The sequence below is a fragment of the Homo sapiens genome, chromosome 2, assembly GCF_000001405.40.
Source record: "Homo sapiens chromosome 2, GRCh38.p14 Primary Assembly".
NCBI classification, from domain to species: Eukaryota; Metazoa; Chordata; class Mammalia; order Primates; family Hominidae; genus Homo; species Homo sapiens.
This window is the reverse complement of record NC_000002.12, coordinates 232,281,310-232,304,962: the sequence shown is the minus strand read 5'-3', so window position 1 is coordinate 232,304,962 and position 23,653 is coordinate 232,281,310. Positions and strand designations below refer to the sequence as shown.

General features: G+C 46.4%; 1 protein-coding gene across 4 annotated transcripts in view, besides 3 other annotated features; it reads right to left on the bottom strand.

Annotated features, from left to right (window-relative positions):
* The window catches only part of DIS3L2 (DIS3 like 3'-5' exoribonuclease 2), a 382,638-nt gene that overhangs the window by 39,388 nt on the left and 319,597 nt on the right, over positions 1–23,653 (bottom strand). For 3 of the 4 annotated variants that reach the window (NR_046477.2, NR_046476.2, NM_152383.5), the window contains one exon: positions 4,844–4,923. The exons of the other annotated variant lie outside the window; for it this stretch is intronic. Coding sequence is in view for 1 of the 3 variants with exons in the window: in NM_152383.5 (NP_689596.4) it covers positions 4,844–4,923 (80 nt within the window). In the remaining 2 variants the exon portion in view is untranslated. The remainder of the gene's footprint in view (positions 1–4,843; positions 4,924–23,653) is intronic. 4 annotated transcript variants of the gene reach the window in all.
* Positions 11,409–12,130: an enhancer, noted in NCBI's record as "NANOG-H3K4me1 hESC enhancer chr2:233157543-233158264 (GRCh37/hg19 assembly coordinates)". NCBI's record gives its function as "activates a minimal SCP1, AML or CMV promoter by ChIP-STARR-seq in naive H9 embryonic stem cells {active_cell/tissue: H9 hESC(naive)}" and the evidence as "EXISTENCE:reporter gene assay evidence [ECO:0000049][PMID:30033119]".
* Positions 12,131–12,854: an enhancer, noted in NCBI's record as "NANOG-H3K4me1 hESC enhancer chr2:233156819-233157542 (GRCh37/hg19 assembly coordinates)". NCBI's record gives its function as "activates a minimal SCP1, AML or CMV promoter by ChIP-STARR-seq in naive H9 embryonic stem cells {active_cell/tissue: H9 hESC(naive)}" and the evidence as "EXISTENCE:reporter gene assay evidence [ECO:0000049][PMID:30033119]".
* Positions 12,140–12,229: a silencer, noted in NCBI's record as "silent region_12458". NCBI's record gives its function as "represses an Ori minimal core promoter by ATAC-STARR-seq in GM12878 lymphoblastoid cells {active_cell/tissue: GM12878}" and the evidence as "EXISTENCE:reporter gene assay evidence [ECO:0000049][PMID:35858748]".

Below are 23,653 nucleotides of genomic sequence, written 5' to 3'. Positions count from 1 at the left end.
AACAGATACAGAAATAGAAAAAAGAGAGGAAAGATGAAATAAGATGGTTTCTAACAAGTTCCAGAAGGAGAGATTAGAGAGAACCAAAGAGAATCAAAGATAATAGATAAAAATTTCTAAATGAGAACTATATTGAGTCCTAAACAATATAAATAAAAATGAATCCACTCAGACATAATGTAGTAAAACTGCAGAATGCCAAAGACAAAAATAAGGTCTAAAAAGCAACCAGAAGGAAAAGACACACACACTCACTCAGGCTGCAGAGAGGACAGCCGGGAGGCCAACCAGCTAACGGCAGGAAGAATAGCTTGCAAAGCAGCTCCACAGTCCTGGCAGTGAGAAGGAGGGTAGCCGTGGGGATGGAGAGAAAGGAGCCTTCTGACAAAGCTCCTTGTCTGTGAAGGTCACCACCATCCACACAGTAACTCCAAAGTCGGAAGCATTCACTTTCCTCATCGTTGCTGCCATAGCACTCGATTCCTACCACTGCCAAAGTGCATATCATCCCACAGGGTGCTGGAGTGCGCTTTGCTCCTTATACAAACCCTGAGGGCATGCACTGGGTCTAACGTATCTTTGCCTCCCCCATGTAACACACTGTACAGAGCAGGGGCTTCATAAATGTGTAACTGAATTCTCACAAATCACTTATTCACTCCTGAAGGTCTTGTTCCTTGCCCTATATCCAGAGATCTCCAAACTTCAATTTGACAAAAATGACTCTCGATCACTCCTTGATTAACTGGATTTAGTGTTAAAGACAGGTAAAGTTTTCTGCAACAGAGAAAAAAAAAAAACCAGTCACCACCCGTAGACCCACGGTGGCATCTGCCAGGGGGTGTGAGGCCTCACACCTCCAGATGCAGACTGGAGCAGCTTTTGGGAGGCTGACAGAATAATTCAGGGTGGAGAGCTTTACTAGTTGAACCCAAGGCACCATAGGACAGCTTCTCTCTTTCTTCTAATGACCTCAGAGCTTTAAGAATGTTTACCCGACAGCTGTGCCTCTAGCCTTAGAGAAGGCAGGGTCCAAGTCCCATGAGAAATGGACAAGTCCTAGGGACTGTCCTCCCTGGACCCCAGAGGTAGAGATTAGCCCCTTTATGTGAAAGGAGAACAGGATGACAGAGAGCCAAGGATCAAAATTATCAGGCACCACCCATGGACCCGAGGGCCACATTCTTCTTCTCTGTTGCAGAAAACTTTACCTGCTTTTGATACTGAATCCCGTTAATGGAGGGCTGATAAAAGAATCCAGAAAATATAAAAATGGAGTGCCCATTTTCCGGGCCATTCCATTTGAAAGGAAAGACTATTTGGGAGAACCATCCAACAGCCTCAGCACTTATTCAGAACAACTTTTTCTGCTGATGGATTGAATTTGGCAAACAGAGATGAATGCTAAAGTGATTACAAATTGTACTGCAGGGAATATCCAAAAAGGAAAGGCAGTAGTTTCAATAATCAGTTGTACCAAACTAATACTCAAGCTAGCTTTTTCATCTGTAGAATTTCCTCTCTCTGCTGGTATTGTCTTCATGTTACTTAGCCTGAGACAACATGGGCCCCTTAAGGGTCTGGGCTGAGTATCTTCATTTCCTAAATAACACTATTATGCCAATATTTGGATTCAGGCATTGTAGGGAAAATGACCCTAAATGGAAACAGAGGAACACAAACAGGGAAGGGTCTGGGGGAGACAATAAATCATAGTCAGGATTTTGGGGTCCTCCGTGCTTCATAACTCATGAGTGAGGAGTCTGCCTTTGACAGAGCGTCGTACACAACCAAAGGCTGTGAACGGCAGGCACACCAGCCTCTTCCCTCATGAGTACACTGTTGGCAGAAGACTTTCTGGGAAGATGGAAGTCATGAGCCAGTTTTTCTCTTTGGGAAGAAGAGGCAACAAGCACTTCCTATGGGCATTCTATATGTGAGACTGGTGATGACACACTTCAACATGATATCCCGGCCAGAGAGCCCCATGCAACCCTGCCAGAGAGGTATTATTAATCCTACTATTAATAATTAATTAACAATTAATAATTAATCCTACTATTAATCCTACTTCATCCTATAGATGAAGAAACTAGAGGCTCAGGCCGGGCGTGGTGGCTCACGACTATAATCCCAGCACTTTGGGGGGCCAAGGCAGGTGGATCACCTAGATCAGGAATTCAAGACCAGCCTCGCCAATATGGTGAAACCCCATCTCTACTAAAAATACAAAATTTAGCTAGGTGTGGTGGCAGGCACCTGTAATCCCAGCTATTCGGGAGGCTGAGGCAGGAGAATCACTTGAACCCAGGAGGCGGAGGGTGCAGTGAGCTGAGATCATGCAATTGCACTCCAGGCTGGGTGACAAAAGCAAGACTATCTCAAAAAATAGAAAAAAAAAAAAAAGAAGAAGAAGAAAATAAATGAAACTAGAGGCTCAGAGAGGTTAGGAAAGTTGTCTAAAGATTGAGAATGAACCCTAAGACTGACTCTAATACAAGCAAGAGAGAACCAGAGAAAGCAGTCACCAAAGCATTTGATCACCATACTTTTTTCTTTTCCTTTTTTTTTTAATTATTATACTTTAAGTTCTAGGGTACATGTGCACAACATGCAGGTTTGTTACATATGTATACATGTGCCATGTTGATGTGCTGCACCCATTAACTCATCATTTACTTTAGGTATATCTCCTAATGCTATCCCTCCCCACTCCCCCCACTCCACTACAGGCCCCGGTGTATGATGTTCCCCTTCCTGTGTCCAAGTGTTCTCATTGTTCAGTTCCCACCTATGAGTGAGAACATGCTGATCACCATACTTTTCTAGATCATGGCTCCTATCTGATTTCCTACACAAGTATTTTCTTTTAGAGGTCTTTGGGGGCCAAAACTTATTCATATTTATAAACCCTAAGTTATCTTCTTACATTGCTTGGTCTGATAATATGCTAGGAGCTATGGATCAACCAAGACACAGAGCTAGGCTGGGCATGATGACTCACACCTGTAATCTCAGCACTTTGGAAGGCTGAGGCAAGAGGATGGCTTGAGCTCAGGAGTTCAAGACCAGCCTAGGGAACATCATGAGACACTGTTTCTATTAAAAAAAAAAAAAAAAAAAAAAAGAGCTAGGCTATTTTCTCTTCTCACAGTCAAAGACAACATAAGTTGTTGCCACCAGATATGTGAACAGCTAAGACATAAACTTAAAGGACAGAGAGCTGGTGTCCTTCTCCCATTGAATAAATACTCTTCAACCTTTTCCCAAAGAGCAGAGAGTCCAGCAAGAATTGTTAAAGGATGTCTGGTCAATCCTTCCTATGATTAATTAGGGGTACACACCAGTTACTATGGCATTCTCCTAAAGATAAATTACAAACAGTCATCATGTCTTGAAGGTAATCCCAGTGGAGATGTGGTAACGAGGGCACCCGGTAGCCTCTCTTCTACCCTAAACAGCACCAGAGGTCTTGAGGAAGGCCCAGGTTTCTCTTCTGGAAGGTCATAGACAGTAGACAGTTCTACTGGCATGTGCCTATTTGTTTCCTTCCACTGAATAAAATTAAACAGCCTGGATATTTAGACAATGAGACCAGAGTACATTCTCCTTAAGTCCAGGATGGGACTGCTCTTGTCATTGACTGGGGTTTCTAAGTAAAAATACGGGTCACTTGTTTTCCTTCTATTCTCTCCCCAGAGTAAACATGATAATGTTGACTCTGCTTCTCACAGCCGTGGTGAGTCACCCTGAGTGAATTACTTTAGTTCCCTAGACCTTAGCTTCTGCAAATATGACAATAATAAAATAACACACCGGGGTTGTTATGAAGATTAAATGAGATAACAAATGTAAAGTCCCCAGTACTGTGCCTAACACATAGGAGGTGCTCAATGGTAGCCGCTGTCATTACCATCATTGTCATCATCGGGGCACAGTTCCTGTGCCTCATTCACCACCACTTTCACTGTCTCACAAACGAAAATACACAGTCAAGGAGGCAGTCTGTGGCTGGGTGTGGTGGCTCATACCTGTAATCCCAGCACTTTGGGAGGCTGAGGTGGGAGAATCGCTTGAGCTCAGGAGTTCAAGACCAACCAGGGCAACATAGGGAGACCCTGTCTGTACTAAAAATTTAGAAAATTAGCTGGGCATGGTGGTGTGCACCTGTAGTACCAGGTACTCGGGAAACAGGTGGGAGGATCACTTGAGCCCGGGAGTTTTGGGCTGCAGTGAGCCACGATTCTATCACTGCACTCTAGCCCAGGTGACAGAGCAAGACCCTGTCTCAAAAAAAAAAAAAAAAAAAAGGAGCAGTCTATGATGTGGAAAGGAGGTGCTATGAAAGTATGCAAGGTGCCACCTTTCCAACAAGGGCACCAATTTAAATCTCTGTAAGTACCCGGAAATCTCCCAACCATTAATATAAAATTTACAAGGTAGATAATCACAACAAAACCCATAAACCTAAGTATAGGCAGATAGTGACTGAGAACTACAACAAAGCCAAAGTCACACAGTGAACCAAACAAGCAGGCACATGACTGGAGACCAAGAGTGGGGAGGGTCTGGGGGACATCTGCAGCCTTGAAAGAAGGTCTGCTTCAGCATCTACTTCTAACACACCACAACTGCTCCTCTGCAAGTGCTCCAAGTTCTATACTTAGGGGCAAAGAGATCTTACAAGAGGACTATTTCTGTGCCAGCTATTTTCTAGTATAGTAGTAAAAGGTGTATTCCCTTCCTGACAACCACTTAGCAATGGAAGCTCAGTGTCAGAAAGCCCACAGGCACCACTGCTGCACACATGTGAAGTGACACTCTTTCCCACTGAGTGGCTTACTTGTTGCTCTCGCGGTACTCATAGATATGACATCCTTGAGGCAATCCGGTCTCGTGGTCCAGAGTGAAAGCAAGCTTTAGCTGAAGAGAGAGAGAAGAGAAAAAGAAGTTTTAGGCAGCATGCTCTATTCATTCCAATAGCTGAAATGAAAAAAATAAAATCAAACGAAGTCACACTCCCTCAAGTCAATGTGTTGTGGAGAACCTGGGCCTGCCCACTCTGGGAAGAGCCCACACCTTACAAGGACCCCATCATCAATGATGACTGTCAGCAAGACTCTACTTGTTCATTCAGCATGCAACCAATACGTTTATTAAGCACCTATCTTGTGCTAGACATGAGCTAGCTGAGAGGGAAAGAACAGTGACAGCAGACTCTTTTCATGGGTCTTACCGTCTAGCAGAGAAGACTGACAGCAATCAAATGATCACACCAATGAATGTGCATATATGTGTAGAACTTCAAATTAAAATAGGCTCTCTGAAGCAAGAAAAAAATCCCCATGTTTCCATGAAAGTGAAGAGCCTGACCTGGATAGAATGGGTAGAAGGGAAGGCTCCTCTGAATCAGGAGGAGGAGGGATGGGGAGTGGAGAGGGTTCTCCTGAGGAGAGAGCACAGTGAGTGCAGAAGCCCTGGGGCAGGAGCTGCAGGATGGCTGGTGAAGTTGGGCGCTGATAGATCCAGGGACATGGTGGGTGACTCTGGGGAGGACCTTCTTGGCCACACTGGAATTTTTGGCCTTTACCTTAACAGCGAAGAAAAGAAAAAGAAGGAGTAGATGAGGTAATCAGAATTCTATTTTGGCAAGACCCCTCTGGCTACAGTGCAGACTGCAGACCACAGACCACAGAGCAGAAGCAACATCCTGCAGGAGGCAGCCACTACAGTCAGGGGAGCGGCCAGGGGGGCTGGGATAGAGTGAGAGAAATGGACAATTTGAGGTACATTTTAGAAGTCGAATCAACAAGATATGCTGGTGGATTTGATGTTGGCAGTGGTAAGGAAAGAAAGGAAGAACTCAAGGACGGTTCAAGATTTTGAATCTGAATCACCAGTCAGGTGGCTGATCCACTGCTGAGAGAAAGACTGAATTTGGGGACTGATAGGGAGTCAAAGGTTTGACTTTGGACATGTTAACTTTGAGACACTCATTAGCTTTCTTCAGTTATGGAAGATCAGGAACAGGAACTCTGGGAAAGTCTTGGTTTCTTTCTGGATTCCAGAGGGCAGTGCTCAGGTGAGTGCTGAACTTCCAACAGAGCTCAAGGAGGTGCAGCATGCCCTGCTAGAGCCAGTTGGTTATGACAGCTTTAACATTCCAAATGCAAGCCAACTACTATGTTTATAAATTCACTGGGTTTTTAAAGCACTAGGGAGATTTTAACTAAAATTAACTGCACATTAGGAGGATACATTATTATAATTTTTTTTTTAACTACAAGGCTGCGAACACAGCTAATGATCTGCATCATTAGATACTGGACGATTTTTCTCTTCCTTAGTGGGAAAGGAACTCACAGGAATGGTTTGTCCTCTAACTGACCCAGATGAAAACACAAAAGCAGAAACAAGCCCTTCTCGACCATCATGAAGCCAGAACTTCAAGTCAAAGGCATGTTTGCCCTACAGAGCACCACTTGAATCTTCCCAGCCCTCTCCTTTGTGAAGTAAAACATAATTTTAAAAGCATCTATTAGTTACAACCCTTTTCTCTTTACCTCTCTCTTTGCAGCTGAGGTCAGGTCTATATTCATTCTGTCCATTTTGAGTCTGCATTGCTTAGAAATTTTCATATGATTTGACTCAGTGATTTAAGTTATGAATTTATAGCTTAGAAAAATCATCAGAAATGTAGGAAGAAAAGTTTTATTTGCAAAACTGTTCCCCCCAGTGTTATTTATTGGAAAGACTAAAAAGTCCAGCAGTGGCAAAAGGTTAAACAAACTATGCTATAGTCACACATGGAATAGCAGGTAGTTGTTACATGGCTTAGGGAGAATTTTTACTAACCCAGGAAAAATAGGTTGGACAGATGAGATAAAGCAGGATGCACACTTGATTATACAGTGTACCATGAAGACTATGTAAAAAAGGACAAAGACTTCCTAGAAGAAAGACTGAGGCCAGATGTGGTGGCTCATGCCTATAATCCTAGCACTTTGGGAGGCCGAGGCGGGTGGATTGCCTGAGCTCAGGAGACCAGCCTGGGCAACATGGTAAAACCCCATCTCTAGTAAAATACAAAAAATTAGCTGGGTGTGGTGGCACGCACCTGTAGTCCCAGCTACTCAGGAGGCTGAGACACGAGAATCGTTTGAACCTGGCGGGTGGAGGTTGCAGTGAGCCCAGATTTTGCCACTGCATTCCAGCCTGGGCGACATAGCGAGAGTCTGTCTCAAAAAAAAAAAAAAAAAAAGACTTGGAAGGAACATACCTAAACAGCAACAGTGCCTATCACTAGCTGAGAGGTTCCAGGTGATTACTTTCTTTGCATTTTCCAAATTCTTCATAAGCATACACTGCTTTGACAGAAGACTAATAGGTTTTCCTCCTTATTTTATGACTGGTGATTCTTACAGAATTCTAAGCCCTCCTGGGTTTCCTGTGTCTTTTGGTCCCAGTTTTCTGGACAGCTGGTCTTAGCTGAGTGTCTTATGCCTGTCCTACTAGCCACTAGACCCAAGAAGTATAGTATTCAGCTTCTCAATCAGTATCTAAGCATCCTTCTTGCTCCCTTATCATGAAAGGTGTCACTGGGTCAGAGAGGACTTAGCCACTGGGCTGGCACAGGCATGCAAGGGAGATGAGCTGGCAAGGCAGGCTGCACGTAGGAGTGTGTGAACTTCACTTCACCAGAAGAGAGAAGCCATGGCAGGTTTCAGGGCAGAAAGACCAGCTCTGATGGTCAGGTAGAGAAGGGCTGAAGTGAGAGAGGGCATAGAGAAATGCCTTAGAGGGGGCTGCTGCAGTAGCCCAATGAGATGATGAGGATTTGGCTTACGGAGGTGCAGTGGCGTTGGAGACAGCTAAGAGACAAGACTTGGAAGTACATACACATCTAATTATGTGCCAGTAACATCTGGCATCTGCCTCCCAGACCCCACACAATGCTGTGGTGACCAGCACTTAGTCCTTAGTCATGAAGGAACTATGGGAAATCTAATTGCAGGGGGAGTCTCAAAGTCAGGAAACTATGTTCACACCAACTCAACAATAAGGCAAGTCAGCAGAGGTGGTGATAGGGTAGGGGAGAGAGAGGACTGGAACAGAAGAGCAGTCATGTTTACTAAATGGAGGACTCACATTTATTGAATGCCTACTGTATTAGTCTGTTCTCACACTGCTAATAAATACATACCTGAGACTGGGTAATTTATAAAGGAAAGAGGTTTAATGGACTCACAGTTCCACATGGCTGGGGAGGCCTCACAATCATGGTGGAAGGCAAAGGAGAAGCAAAGGCAAGTCTTACGTGGCGAGAGGCAAGAGGGCTTGTGCAGGGAAACTCCCATTTACAAAACCATCAGATCCTGTGAGGCTTATTCACTACCACGAGAACAGCACAGGGAAAGCCCACCCCCATAATTCAATTACTTCCCACTGGGTCCCTCCCACAACATGAGGGATTACTAAAATTCAAGGTGAGATTTGAGTGGGGACACAGAGCCAAACCATATCACCTACCAAGTAAAGGCTTTCCTTTATCCTGACAAAAACCACTTAAATTAGGTATTGCTATTTCCTTTAAACAGATGAGGAACTTGAGGCTGAGAAAGATTAAGTAGTTTGAGCAAACCACAATTAGAACTGGAATTTTAACCAAAATCCATGCTCCTTTCACCTCACCAGCATTACAGGACTTGGTGATGGTCTGGAGATAAAGTCAGTGAGAGAGGGAAGAGTCAACAAGTGTTCAGGATTCTCTGGCTCAGGCTGCAGGGCAGATGCTATTGCTACTCACCCTGACAAGGAAGAAAAACAGGTTTGGGAGAAGAGTTTGAGTTCAATCTGAGATTGCGGATTCTAACATACCTGGGAGGCATCTAGTGGAGATGGCCAGTAGGCTGCTGAACATACAGTTCTGAAGTTTATAAGCAAGATTGTAACCTGAAGGGATAAGAGAGCCCTGGATAGAATCCTGAGAAACACCTGTATTTAAGAGCTGGACAACAGAAACTGGGGAGTGGCTATGGAGTTCTGAGTTCTGACATTATAGAAGCCAAAGAGAGAACATGCCTCAAGGAGGGCATAGTCAGCAGCGTTAAATCCTTCTAAGAGGTCAAGTAACAGAGAACATTCCCAAACAAGGAATCCTTTGGATCTATCAGAAAAGACTCTTGCAGGGAGTGCTGGGGGCAGAGATCGGGGTGACAGGTTGAAAAACGAATAGAAAGCCAGGAAATGGCAATCATGAGTGAATACAACTCTTTTAGCAAATTAGACAGTGCTAGGGAAGAGGCAAGATTCATGAAATGGAATGGGAAAGGATGAGAGGATGTGAGAGTGTACTGAAGGTGTTTGAAGGGAGTATATTTAAAGATGACAGAGACTTGTTTCAATGCTGACAGGAAGAAGGCACTATGGATGGTGGAGTAGAAGACATTAAGAGAGACAGAGAGAACTGCAGATTCAAGGTCTCTGAGATGACAAGGGATTGGATCCAACACAAAAGTGGAACCCCTTTCTTGGCTGCAAGAGGAAGGAAGATGGGCAGCGATAACAGTAAGATCTGTGGATTGGGCAGGGGGGATTTAGAATGTCCTAGTATGATTTTTTAGGTTCTTTCCTGAAAATTAGGACACAAATTATCTGCAAAGAATGGGGAGTGTGATGGGGGAAGGAGTTTGAGGAAAGTGATGAAGGTTTGAAATTGCTCCTTTGGAGAATAGGAAAAACAGTTGACCTGGGCAGAGCATAAGGATTGCCAGGGAGTATTGCCAGGGAGTATTCGGAGGCCACAGGATCTGAAGTTACTGTAGCAAGCATCTGTCCCACTGTTAATTTTTTTCTAGCAACTTAGACATTAGTGTGAAGAAAGTTAGGTTGGTCCAAGCTGAATATCTGCCAGGAAGGTATGAGGGAAGAATAAGGGGGTAAGGGAGTGGAGATACAATACGGCAGCATATGGACCAGGAGACCTACGGGGGAACAGGAAGGAAATAAATGGGAAAGAGGCTGATGGGAAGAAAACAGAAGGAAGCGGCTGGGTGACAGATGTCTGGAATGGAGCTAATATTTATTAAGCACGTCCTCTGTCCTAAGCATCTCTCACGCTGATCTTATTTAATCCTCGCAAGAGCCCTGCAAAGCCGGTTCCTACCTCTATGTTACAGGAGAGTTTATTAAGTATTTGGCCCAAATTACCAAGTAAGTGGCACAGCTGAAGTATGGTCCATGTTGCTAATCACTGGGTGTAGTGTCTGAGAGGTCAAGGAGAGGAGTGTGGGAGTCACTGGATAAGGGAGTTGAAGGGGCTGAGGCCATGGTCAGAGAGCAGGCTGTGTGTCTGACCTTGGAGATGGCTGGTCAAAAACAAGATCCAAAAAGAAGTCAAGGAATGGAGAGCCAAGGGTCTGGGTAGGGATAAGGGTAGGGGATCCTTCATGAGGACTGAAATTCACCCAGGATGATGGTATGCTGTTTCCACAAAGTATGTCCCTACTGGTGTGTAGGTGCTTACCATGTACAAGGTTCAAAAGATGAATGAATGGGTCCATCTGGTTCCTGTAGCAAACACGGATGCATAGCTAGCAGGCATTTCCTCCTTGCTAAGGATGGCCTACTTTCACTCAGCTATTCATTCCCCTGTCCTGCTCCCCATTCTAGGGGGTCCGGGGGGAAGCAGACCCAACCTCTAGCTCCAGGGCTGGACGTGACAGCTCTGAGGTAAGAAACCTAAGCCAATCAGGGCATGGCATTTCCTGGCCCTAGAAACTGGTTCAGGAATGGATGTGTGACCCAACCGAGGCCAATGAGGTACGAGGGGATGCTTGTTGAGTGCTTCTGGTCATGCGGGCCAGAACTGCTGCAACCAGCTTGCCACCAGCCTGAGAAGGGAGCCAAATCATGGAGGACACAGACTCCAAAGACTGACAAAGTGGGCAGCCAGTGCCTTGGTGGAGGCAGGCCTGGTCCCTGCCACCTCCGGGCCCTCTACTGCCCTTGTGTAATTTGTGCTCATGCTTCTCCTAAGGACACTGACACACAATGTATCTTCCTACTCCCTTGGCTATGTTCTCCTAATCCGCTCTCTAGAACATAGCTGTTATTTTCCTGAAGCATAAACCTGGTAACACTTCCCTCTTTAGTACCTTTGACGGCTTCCTGCTTTTGGAGATATGAAAGTGAATTCAACACAGCCCAGGCTCGCTGAAGGTTGGTTGTTCACATGAACAAATATGGACAGTAACAGAGCAATGGAAAGAGGTGGGCCTGTGCTCGGGAGGGTGTGCCAGCCAGGGAGGCCCTCAGGACAGACAGAAGGAGTCTTACAGGACAGGGAAGGGTCACTCTCCAGCTCCTGCAGAGCTCCATGCACTCCCCGACGCGGTCCACTTCCCTGAGGGGTTCAGAGCAGACCAGGCTCTCTTAGGCCTCTGTGCCCTTCCTCATGCTCCACCTGCTTCCAGGGGAGCCCTTCCTGCCTGTCCCTCCTCTGTCAAAGTGGCCCTGATCTTTTGTTTTCCCCTTCGCTGGAATGCCAGAGGTATTTCCCCCAGAGAATCCAAGGGTGGCTTCACCAGGTCTCCTGGGCAATCGGTGTCCTTATCACTGTCACAGCAGGTGTCCAATGTCATTCCTTCAAAATAATTTCTTTTTCTTCAGTAAATAAATTCTGCCTCACGTCTGCCTCCTGCTCAGTAATTGCCACCAGATGACCAGCTGTGGCTCAGACACTCTCAGTGTTCAGGTGTTGCCATCTTGTCAGCACCCTCAAGAGGCACAAGCTCCTTCCCTCAACAATGCTCACTAGATACTTCCTAGCTATCAGGCACGGCAAGGAACCAGGCAGCAGCAGCGCTCTGGCCCTAATCACCACCTGCAGGGACCACCCACAGAGCAGCTCAGCTTGGGAAGTCAGCCTGCAAGAATGGCAGCCACTCAGACTTCACAAGGTCTTTCTCTCTCCAGAGGCAGCTGCCATGTCAAGCAGGAGAGCTCACCACTACCCAATCCTTTCCCCAGGAACAGGCTTCCCTGGGTGGACAGTTTCCAACTGCACAACGGTCCTGGTATTGAGTGAAGAGGGAAGGAAGTGAAGGACCCAAGAGGCAACAACAAGGTTGCTCTGTCAGCTTCCACCAGCAGAGGGCGGAAGCCTTCAAAAGGGTTCAGTTAGAGGCAAGGCTTTCATCCCAACAAGGAAAGGGCAGTCTCCCCAGGGCAGAAAATGGGAGAGCCTTCTCCTTTCAGGGGCTCAGGCTGAGGTCACACAGGAGGGCAGGCTCCAGGCGGCCAGAGCATGAGACTACCACTGGGTCCCCTTTGGACCTAGGCCTCCTGCTCTAGGGTGGGGCCCCCAGGAAACTGGCCTTAAGAGAATCGCGTGGGTGAGCTCTAGGAGCCTGGATGAGTTGAAGGGACTAGGACCCTTGGGAGAGGAGAATCTTCCCCAGACTCTGTGGGAACATGGGATGCAGGCCCTGTTGGGGTTGTTGGGCCTTTGAGAGGCCCTCCTTCCGCCCGTCTGAGCTTTCTGGGTAGGATGACAATGGAGACAGCAAGGCGACCCTCCCAGCAGATGGCAACAGGTGGGTAACAAGAATGAGTGACTGAGGACTATGTACAGCTTCCTCAGGCTGCTCAGATTATTGCTGCTTGGGGATGGCACTTTAGGGAGAACTTAGGGGCAGAAACAATGTCCTAGGTAAGCAGAAGGAGGGGTGTCCACTGAGTCTTTTAATGTAACTATTAAAAGATATGTGACCTTATTTTGGATCCCAGCCTGGTGAAGACAGTGGGCCAGGCTACATTCATAAGAATAACCAGAAGCGTGACGAGACAAGACAGGAAAGTGTGGCTAGGCAAGCATGCCAGGGGTCCCTCTGGGCTACTGAACAGGTAGATCTTTGGCTGGCCCAGGCACACAGGCAGCTTTGTCAAACAGCCATACTTGGAGAACGTCATGCAAGGGCCACTAGGCACTAAACTCCATCAGTTAGGGAAGACGCCACATCAGAGGTTTCGAGGCTTTGGAAAAGTCCTGGCCTGACCTTGGAAGGGCAAAAAAATGAGTTTAAAAGTTTAGGAATTCCCTGTTTTGTTCGCAATACCTCCAAGATGACCTCTCATGGACAACCAAGTCTCTCTCTGCCCGTCTCCTGGAAGGTACTTACAGCCCCAGCAGGACAGAGCCATTCAGCTTTCTCTGCAGACTACTCCATGAATGAGCAGGGGAACCTAGGATGCTAGCTCAGAGCTCCCCTCACAGGGGTGTAATGAGGGAGGTCACTGGTAAGAGCACAGTGTGAGTTATTTGGCCAGGATTGCTCCAGTTCAAACCAACATGGGTTCTCCAGGAGGCCTGTGAATTTGCTTCAATCTGCTAGTTATTAGGACCAAGGTTCAAACACAGGTCAAGGCCGGCCTGGGAAGCCTCCAGCCTCTCCACGGTTGACTCTTCCCCTCATAGTCCACTGGGTCTTACAGGGTGTCCAACTCTTCCTTAAGCTGAAAGTGGTAAATCCTAGCACAGTTCAAACATTTCAGCTATGCCATTTATGGCAGAATTTAAAAGATCAGAAAAGTTACTTCTACCTGCAGCCTTGGTTTTTAATAGAAAAATCTGATTAGAAGAAAATCACATTTTCAGAGATGATCTTGAGTTTTTCTTCTTTAGTGTTCACTGTTTGGTTTGGATTTCCTAAGTATAATTTCTTTTTTTCCATCTCCTTTTTGCTTTCTTTTATAAGACAAAGATGCTGTGGACTTTGCTTTAACTTGGTTAATGACGATTCTATGGCAATGTATTAAATTTCTTTCTCCTAAGTCCACTGAAGTCTTTTTGGACTTGGAGAGAGCTTTTTAAGAAAGAACTTGCTCATTCAGCAGGATTTTCCTCCCCACCCCAAGCTCTGGTTCTGACCTGGAAAAAATAAGAGTGAGAAAGAGCAAGAGAATCCTGCAGTCCTGACGCTCAACTTCACAAACCACAAAAAAGAACCTTTCTCCAGTAACGTAATCATGGAGATTTCTGGCACCTTGGTCTTTCAAGAAAAATACATCCTTCTGCTGGCACAGGGACCCATCAAACTAAACCCTATTCAGCATGGAGTTCCCGATTCATTAGTGTTGGAAAGTCTATAGCGAGGCTGGCCGCTCCCATTGGATGATGCCTCCCTGCAGCGCCGTCTGTAAACCCCACAGCTGTGTTTTCACTTAAAGCCACTTCTCCTGACTGCGCTGCACCTTGTTCCAGAGGCTTGCTCTGTTCTCATTAAGGTTAAAAATGACAGGACAAGGATTCTTCAATGCTGAGGTTTTACTTTCTGAGAAGAAAAAACGTCTGTCTTTGGAGCTATGGTCAACCCACAGGGAGGGTTGCTCTGTAGGAAGGAGCCAGTCCCAGGAGAAAAGGGCCTGGTGGTAGCATTCATGCCCCCAGGTCAAGCCGCCTCCTCTTCTGAAGGTGACTCCATTGCTCACCAGCACGTCTATGGCAGGAGAGTTCGGCTCACCACTGTCCCACACGACCTGTATTACTGGGTGAGCCCAGCAAGGAAGAGCTCGTCCCTGATCCCAGGGTCTCCTTTAGCAGAACAGGAGCACCTTTACCTCAGCAGCTTCCCGATCAGGACCTGCCCAGTTAGTGGGCCATGTTCTTGCCTCTCACGTGCCTGAGCAATATGCAACAGTGAATACAAAGCATGATGAGCAAGTCTGCGTGTGTCACATGCAGCCAGCTGGAGAGAGAGTGCAGCCAATCTGCTCATCCTAATCAAAGCTGGAGAATTTTTGAGGATTTTCATGGCCAAAGAGGATGACTGCGTTAGAACATCACCTTATCAAACCATTTGTGCTCAGAGCTCAGGGGCCTCAGGCCAACTACTGTCGAAGGAATGCAGTTACCCAAAGCTGCTTCCACAGGAAAGTGCCAGTGCTGACTGCAGGAACTGCATATCACCCCTTCCAATGCACAGAGATGGTTGTGCACCTGGGAAAGATGCTATCTAGATTTCCTTGCATATAGAATATACTAATTCTGTTACCTATCTATCTGCTTTCTAAATAAAGCTTGTGGTCCTGCCCTCAGCAGTGGTCCTACCCAAGCTGCAGACCTTGTGGAAGCCTCCCACAGCTACACAGCCCTGGTCAAACACTCAGCAAAGGGAAGGGAAACAGAAGTAGCCCAAGCGACAGGCTCTCCACCCACTCAGAGATGGTCTACACTTTATCCTGGAATCAGATTAGGATAGAGGATAGTTATGTGTGTAGATCATATGAGCTTGGCTCTCTAGCACCTGCCTTCCTCAAGGGTGGGTTAGTATGTTCCTCTATTTTCACCAGATTTTGTCTTAAGAAATAGCCTTATAAAATCTCTTTCCTGGCTGGGCGCGGTGGCTCATGCCTATAATCCCATCACTTTGGGAGGCCAAGGCAGGTGGATCACCTGAAGTCAGGAGTTCAAGATCAGCCTGGCCAACATGGTGAAACCCCATCTCTACTAAAAATACAAAAATTAGCTGGGCGTGGTGGCGGGCACTTGTAATCCCAGCTACTCGGGAGGCTGAGGCAGGAGAATCGCTTGAACCCAGGAGGCGGAGGTTGCAGTGAGCCAAGATGGTGCCACTGCGATCTCAGACATGAGAGAGGCAAGAACACGGGCCAGTAACTGGGCAAGGCCTGGACAAGTCTCCAAAAAAAAAAAACAAAAAACAAAAAACTCTTTCCTCATTTGCCCAAAATGCAAACGCTGTCCACTGTTGTAACACTGAATATTTCCAATATCAAGCCTTAAGTGAGAAGCTGCTTTTAGGTGCTAAGAAAAATAATTCTCAATGTTCGATGGGGTTTGTTGTAAGAGATAACCTTGTAAACTCTCCCTCCCCCACGCCACCAAGCAGGACGACTGCATCTGTGATATTGAAATCAGAAAACATGAAGCCCAGTCACAGGAGCTGTGCCCACCCTTACAGATGTCAAATTCTTTCTGACACTCCTCTCCTTCATTCTGATTTTCTGTCTTTCTATTATTTAAATGCAGCTCACTGTTCATTTCCTTTGTTGTAAGTCCTCTCAAAATCTTTTTGGAAACAGATGAGGGTATATATAAACAAAGCAAAGTTCTTCAAAATATAAGCCAAACATACATAAAAATATGAGATCCAGGCAAGTTTAAACACAGACTGATGAAACAATGACCATAATGGTAGGCATTCAGTTCATGGAAAAAAAAGAAAACGGGACATTCCCATACAATACTCAGAGCCAGTGATCAAGCTGGCTGTATTCTTGAAAAAACAGCAGAGAACAGAATGATCTTCCAGGGAATTGGCCTCAGTTTCCAGGGACTTGAGGAGTCGGGGAGTTATATAACCCCAAGCGGGGAGCCAGCAGCTCTGACCTTGTCTCTGTTCTCTCCCAGATTCTGGGGTTGGTGGTGGGGTTCCGATGGTCCTAGACTTTCTACCTGTTAAACAGAGCTGAGTTCCTCTATGGTTGTCCTCATGGTTTGTTTTACGGGTGAATGTGAGACACTTTCTAGGTTTGCTGGAAGAAAGCACTCATAATAAGCCCCTGCTATATCAGTTAGAAGAGACGCTCTACGATTTCAGAAGAGCCAGTGCTCACATCTTCAGATGTTTTAATGAGAACCAAGTGGCAGTGAAGAGTTCTCCTGCATAAGGCTGTCTTACGCAGCTAAGAGCTCCCATCAAAGTTCAGGACTTGATTCCGTGCTAATTCTGCTTCCTTCCTCCCAGACAAGGCCAAATATCTGGATAACATATTCCAGAACTACACTGCCATCTCAGGTCCCTTCTGGACCTGGGGCAGCCAATCTACCTCCTTCCCCAGCTGCCTGCTCCCCTGCTCCTACACCCTGGCTTCAACCTGCAACAATGGGGTTAGCAGCACCTCCTGGTAGAAGAATCACTTTCCACTACCATCCAGCCACAAAATGCCCATTGATCTGACATCTCTTAATTGGTCGCTCAGAACAGTCTGGAAGGGACACCTATGGGGCCCATACCTGGGGTTACCTGAAGTTCCTATTCCAAGATAATTAGTTGTGTCTTAGATAGTCTATTTCTTTACAGAATGACATATCAGTCTAAGAGATGCTGTTTTAACTGTGGTAAAAACTAAAGAACCCACGCGTATTGTGAAGTTTAAAACAGTACAGACAAAAGTTTACTGTTAATATGAAATACAAAGACCAAATGGAGGGTATTTGGAAGGGCCAGGATCCATTAAGAAGGAAAATGGGGCTGGGTGAGGTGGCTCACGTCTGTAATCACAGCACTTTGGGAGCTGAGATGGAAGGACTGCTGGAGGCTATGAGTTTGAGAGCAGCCTGGGCAACAGAGCGAGACCTCCGTCTCTACAAAACATTTAAAAATCAGCACAGGCATGCACCTGTGGTCCCAGCTACTCAGGAGGCTGAAGTGGGAGGGTCATTTAAGCCCAGAAATTTGAGGCGGCACTGAGCTATGATCACGCCATTGCACTCTAGCCTGGCAACAGAGTGAGGCCCTGTCTCTATGTAATAAAAGCGGGGGGGGGGGGGGGCGCGGGGGGAAGGAAAGGATAAAAAGAAGGAAAATGAACAAACTTTCTATTTGTAATGCTAACTATGAAAAATTAGCTTTGGTAATAAAAAACTCCTTGGATAATCTCACAGTTGAAAATCATTTAAGAAACTAGACACAATGTTAAATGTTAAAAAAATAAGTTTCACAATAATCTTAGGGGAATGTTTTCATTAAGCAGAAACTTGTTTTCCCTCTAGCTGCCATGTAATCTCTCTAGAGGCTGTAGGGCTAGAACTCAGGGGACAGACAGAGGATCTCAAAGTCTAACTTTTTAGTCTAGTCTAGATCTTCTAGTCTACCTTTCTGCCTGTCAGACAGAGTTTATGCTCTTGCTTCCACCTTTCTGCCAGGGAAACACCTTTGACAAAAGGAAGGAACTTCTGCTTGTGAACACTTCTACCTATGAAAACAACCAATGACAGGCCAGGCGCGGTGGCTCACGCCTGTAATCCCAGCTACTCAGGAGGCTGAGGCAGGAAATCTCTTGAACCTGGAAGGCAGAGGTTACAGTGAGCCAAGATTGTGCCACTGCACTCCAGCCTGGGCAAGAGTGACACTCTATCTCAAAAATAAAACCCCAATAACAGGGGGCTGCTTAGTAGAGAAGTAAAGGGTACAGCCTCTTTAGGCTGCTGGGTTTTGAATCCCAGCTTTACTTCCTGTTAGTATGTAATCTCTTTTACCTTAGGTGCCTCCTATGTAAAAAAGAGATAATAACAGTGCCTAGCTATAGCGGAAACTCAATGATGTTCTTGATGTATTATACAGTAAGGCCAGAGGTTATTCCTGATAATGAGTTGAGATCAGAATTCAAAACATGACATGCTGGAACAAGCTGATTGGGACTCAATATTTCCAAATGTGATCACTCTAAAACCTGAGTAATTTCTACAACAATAAGGTCCAATTTCTTTACCTGAGCAGTATCTGGGAAACACTCTCTCTGTGGCTTGCTTTCTGTAGGACTCCTTGGGCCGCAGCAGGAAGATACAATGCTTCAAAGCCTTGCTGTCTGCCTCAGCAGCCCCACTACCACTACACTGCTCTCCTGTGGCTGTGCTGACACGGGGTCAGCCCTTGATAAAATCAAGGCAGCCCTGATTTTATGACCCAGTGACGCTAGCTCCAGAGCACCAGCATCAGGGAGGCCCTATGCCACTAGATGAAGCTCACGACTGAAAAAAAGCTTCCAAGGCCCTGCTGGGTCAACAGATGTGCCTCCACAAGGAAGCTGCCCAGAACCTCAGCACTAGTAACAACTTGTCCATTAATCTCTGCCTGGGGAAGGAAGAGGCCACCCCAGCCTGTTGGAGCATGGCAGAGGGCTGGCTTCTGACAGTCTGGATACATGAAAATTGCTTCTATCATGGCCTGATTCTTCTCAGTTATTCTCAAGTTGAAACATGTCTCTAGCTGTGTACTTGTTTAACAATCATATTGTCCCAACTAGATTTTAAGTCCCTGTAGAGAAACCCCAGTGTAAGTTTACTCTTTGTGATCCCCACAAAGGCTTTAAGTTAAGGCAATGCAGGGCCCCGTGATAAGCAGTAGGAATCACAGGTTCCACATGCAACCAGAGACTGTGCCAGGAACAAGTGTCCAGGTATCACTGCTCCTATCTTAAAGGTGAGGGAACTGAGGCTCAGGGAGGTTAAGTAACTGACCTGCCCAAGGTCTGGCAATACATAAATCAACCCCGGCCAACCTGGAAATGGAACTCAAACCCATACGGCTCTAAAGTCTTGGCATTTCCTACTGGGCCACACTTCCTGTTTCTTCTCCCACAAACAGGGACACTGTGTTGGAGGCTGCAAGTTGCAACAATTTACCTTTCCCCTTCTCTAGATTCTAACAGAGAACTGCAAATGGCATTAAGAATGTCAGCCTCCTCAAGGCTCACTGTCAATTAAGGTGGGCGCTGAAGAATCAGGTGAGAGCTCAGTAGACTGACCCACCCAGTTGCAGGTGGAGAGGCTGGACTGGAGGAAGGGGATGCCTGGGTGGGCTCCCTCCAGGCAATGTCAAGCTTGGAGCCTGCAGGTGCTAGGTGAGTCCACTCAGGGAGAGCAGGTGAGAGATAGGTTGGCTTCACCTTTTCAATTCAATGAACCTGCCCCCAGTTGTGGCCCAGTCACACAGCTAAGTAGTAATAAGACCTGAACTAGAGCTTCTTTCAGGGTCTGTAAAAGGTTAAAAGAGGAAATGTCAGTCAGCTAGTCCAAAAACTGCAGAACAGAAATAAAGAAAAAAAACCCAAAACAACAACAAAAATTAAGATCAATATAAGAACTAGCATTATCCTATTAAAAATGGGTTGGGGACCCTTATAGCCACTTCCTATTATTTAGTCCAGGGCCCCTATTCAGGACTTCATCTGTAAAATGAAAGCCTCAAAAGGCTCCTGTCTAAGTCTCCTTCGGGCTCTCCTTTCACAGTTCTGTGGGCAAGCACCTGCTAAGCATTCTCTCTGTGGTGTGCAGCTCCATGCCAGGTCCCATGGGAGGTTCAGGATAAAGGTTGGCAAAGATGACTGAGCTGCACTGCCTCTAATACTGAGGGAGCTTAGAGAATGATCTGGTAGAGGGGCCTGCATGGTGTAGATGAGGCCTCAGGTCTGGCAGGACAGCAAGGATCTGAACGATGGATGCACTCAGGAGAGATTCCAGGTGATGGGGAAAAAAACAGACCTTTAGCTCTCCCGGGGCAAAGACCACATGGGGCATGTCCATCAATGTATCCCTAGTGCCTTCCAGAATTTTCAACAAAACAGGTGCTCAATAATAATTGTTGAAGGAATAAATGATCAAAAGCAGAGAAAATAAGAATGAATATTCAATGTTCCATGAATACACAAGAGATTGGTCTGACTGCAAAGTTGGGAGTAAAATTGGGAAAAGATAAAATAATAACATTGATCGTGGTATCGAAGATGATACTAAGCACATCAACACATTCTGCCAGACTCACAGGGTGGGTGCAGTTACCATGCCTACTTTACAGCTGGGAAGCTGGAGGCTCACAGAAGTTGAGAAGCTTGCTCTGGGTCACACAACTGCAGCCCTGATACTTGAGCCCGGGGGCCCTGACTCTCAGTTCAGTGCTTTCCCATAAGTCGAGAGAGCCTAAGCTCACATCTGACAGGCGATAAAACCTGGACCCTCTTCTAGTTTGTGCCCCACTTCTAGGCCAACTTTGACTGTGTGATGTGGCTTGCTTTCTGATGGCAAGCAGCCCCTGAACTGAGACCTGGCTATTTCCTGGGGGCAATGCTGGTGTTGCACACAGAGGAATTAAAAAAAAAACAACCCACTTTTTATTCTGAGATAATTATAGCTTCAGGAAATTGCAAAGGTAGTATAGAAAGGTTCCACGTGCCCATCTCCAATTTCCACCCAAGGTTCCATCTTACATAATTATAGCACAATATCAAACGCAGGAAACTGACATTGGCATAATGGGTGTGTCTAGTTTTATGCCATTTTGGTCACACACGTACATTTGTGTAACTGCCATGGCAATCTACATACAGACTGTCCCATCCTTACACAGCTCTCCCTTGGGCCACCCTCTGCTCCCCCCGCCATCCCTAGCTCCTGGCAACTACCTACCTGTTCTCCTTCTCTATAAATCTGTCATTTTGAGGATGTTACCTAAATGGAATCATACAGCATTTTAAATAGCTCTTCAAATAATCCTAAGGTCAGGACTTGATCCATTTTTTAGATTTTTAGAAGAATATAAAACAACATCAACATCTACCGAGAGAAATGAAAAAGTAAGCAGAATAAGAAATAGACTGGGCCTAGTCCTGGCCCAGTCGCTCACAACACCTGTAGTTCCAACACTATGGGGGTGCAGAGGCAGAAGGACTGCCTGAGCCCAGGAGTTGGAGACCAGCCTGGGCAACACGGTAAGACTTTATCTCTACTAAACTCAAAAAAATTAGCTGAGCATGAAGACACGTGCCTATAATCCCAGCTACTCAGGAGGCTGAGGTGGGAGGATCACTCGAGCCTAGGAGGACTGCAGTGAGCCATGTTCATGCCACTGCACTCCAGCCCGGGCAGCAGAGCAAGACCCTGCCTCAAATAAAAAGAGAAATGATTCCATCCTAGTTCTGCCACCTCTAGCTATGTGAGTTTTGACAAGTGTTTAAGCTCAAGTCTCAGTTTCCTCATCTCTAAACAAGGGTAAAAGGCTTGAGGATTAAATGATCGAATGTGTGAAAGCACTTGGCAAACTGCAGGCTCTCAATAAATTCTAGCTGTTTGTTGTTACTAAAGCAAAGCCAAAGAAGCCTCTGTGCTTCTTTATAGAAAATAAGGCTCTCAGTGGTCACAGATGATTAAGGAAATGACCATGCCAGCCCTTAAATGACCCCAGGTTATTCTTCCTCTTTCTTTGCAAGACTCCAGGATGGAAACAACCTGGGGATTCTTAAAAGGCGCTTCCAACAGGCGCCTTCATGTGCGCAGCCTCATGAGAACAGGCAGCCATCCCCACGCCAGATTCACCAGGGGGCCCTGAATTCAGAAAGTGGGGAAAATGGCCAAGTGCTCTCTGCTTAGCACAGGACGCCTCCAGAACAGCCGGGTTTGTGCAGAGGCCCCCAGCAGCACACTGAGCACAGAGAAGGGGCCAGTGCGAAAGAGAGGCAGGGGTCAGATGTGTGATTGAATTAGGTGCTGCATGGATACTCCTGAAAGCGCAGCCTTACTCAAAGGCTGGATGTGAGAAGGGGACAATGGCCTGAACTGCCCACGAGGTCATCTTTACTATGACTAGCTATGGAAATCTGAAAACATCTCCCCCAAAATCACATATGTGAAGACTCCATTATATAGTGGAAAGAGCACTCGACTTTGAGCCTTTGAGTAGCTGGGAACCTTGCACAAATGGCTGGCTATATCTGAGCAATATGCCCAAGGCCCATTGAAAATGGGACAAAACCAGGCATTCAGAATCCTTCATGATTTATTGAAAGTGGCATTGTCTGTGCCTCTGCATGGCACCAGCAGGGGTGGGATGGGGGGCACTCCTCCTGATGGTGGGGTCACCCCATGGGTCTCCTGTTCCCTTGGACTTTTCAACTCCTCTGGCCCACATTCACTCACTCAACTTTTCTCCTTTGAAGTTACAGAATACGCCCTCATCTATCACTGACATGTTGGGTTTCAAAAGGACTGGGAGTGAATTCCCTTTTTTTTTTTTTTTTTTTTTTTTAAATAAACGAGAAGGGCTCAGCTGGAAAGACAGAGAGTAGGAGGTGAGGAGGGAGGGTGCAAGCAAGGAGGAAGGACGGCTGGTTTCCTCCTGCTCCACAGTAGCCTCTGGGCTCACTGTCAGGGGATGGAGGCTTTCATGGGTGCCACGTGCTGCTCCTAAGTGCCTGTGTGCTCACCGTGGTCTTGCCAATTAGATTTCATATTGCTTCTAGTCCTTCCTGCTGTACTTTGGGAGGTATGAGCAATCCCGATGCTTCCCATGTCTCTTTAACTCAGAGGCAGCAGCCTGTGGCAAGGTAGAAGAGGAGCAGCAGACTTCCGGTCCAGCCACCTGGCAAGCGTCTTTAAGTGGGCAGCTCACGCACCTCAAGCCTGGAGGGTCTCCACCCAATGCCTGCTCTTCCTCCCCTGGGTGGTGCCGATGATGCTCCTGGGTGGCACGTCTTCCTGCCTGTCAGAAACCTGGGCATATCCAGGTGTCCCCCCTCCCTTTTGTGGTTCTGATTCCACTTCTCTCATCTGTTCCCTCCTGTCAGCTGTGTGGCCTCACCTGCATACAGCCACAGCCATCTAACTGGCTTCCTTGATGTCTACACCTTGACCCCTTCCAACTCATTCTCTACAGAGCTGCCAAAGAGATCTTTCTAAAAAAGAGGTCCCATCCCACAACTCCTATATGTAAAATGCTTCAACAGCACCAAGTTGAATTCAAGAAAACATTCATATTTCTTTTTTTCTTTTTGAGACAGAGTCTTGCTCTGTCACCCAGGCTGAAGTGCAGTGGCGCCATCTCGGCTCACTGCAAGCTCCGCCTCCCGGGTTCACGCCCTT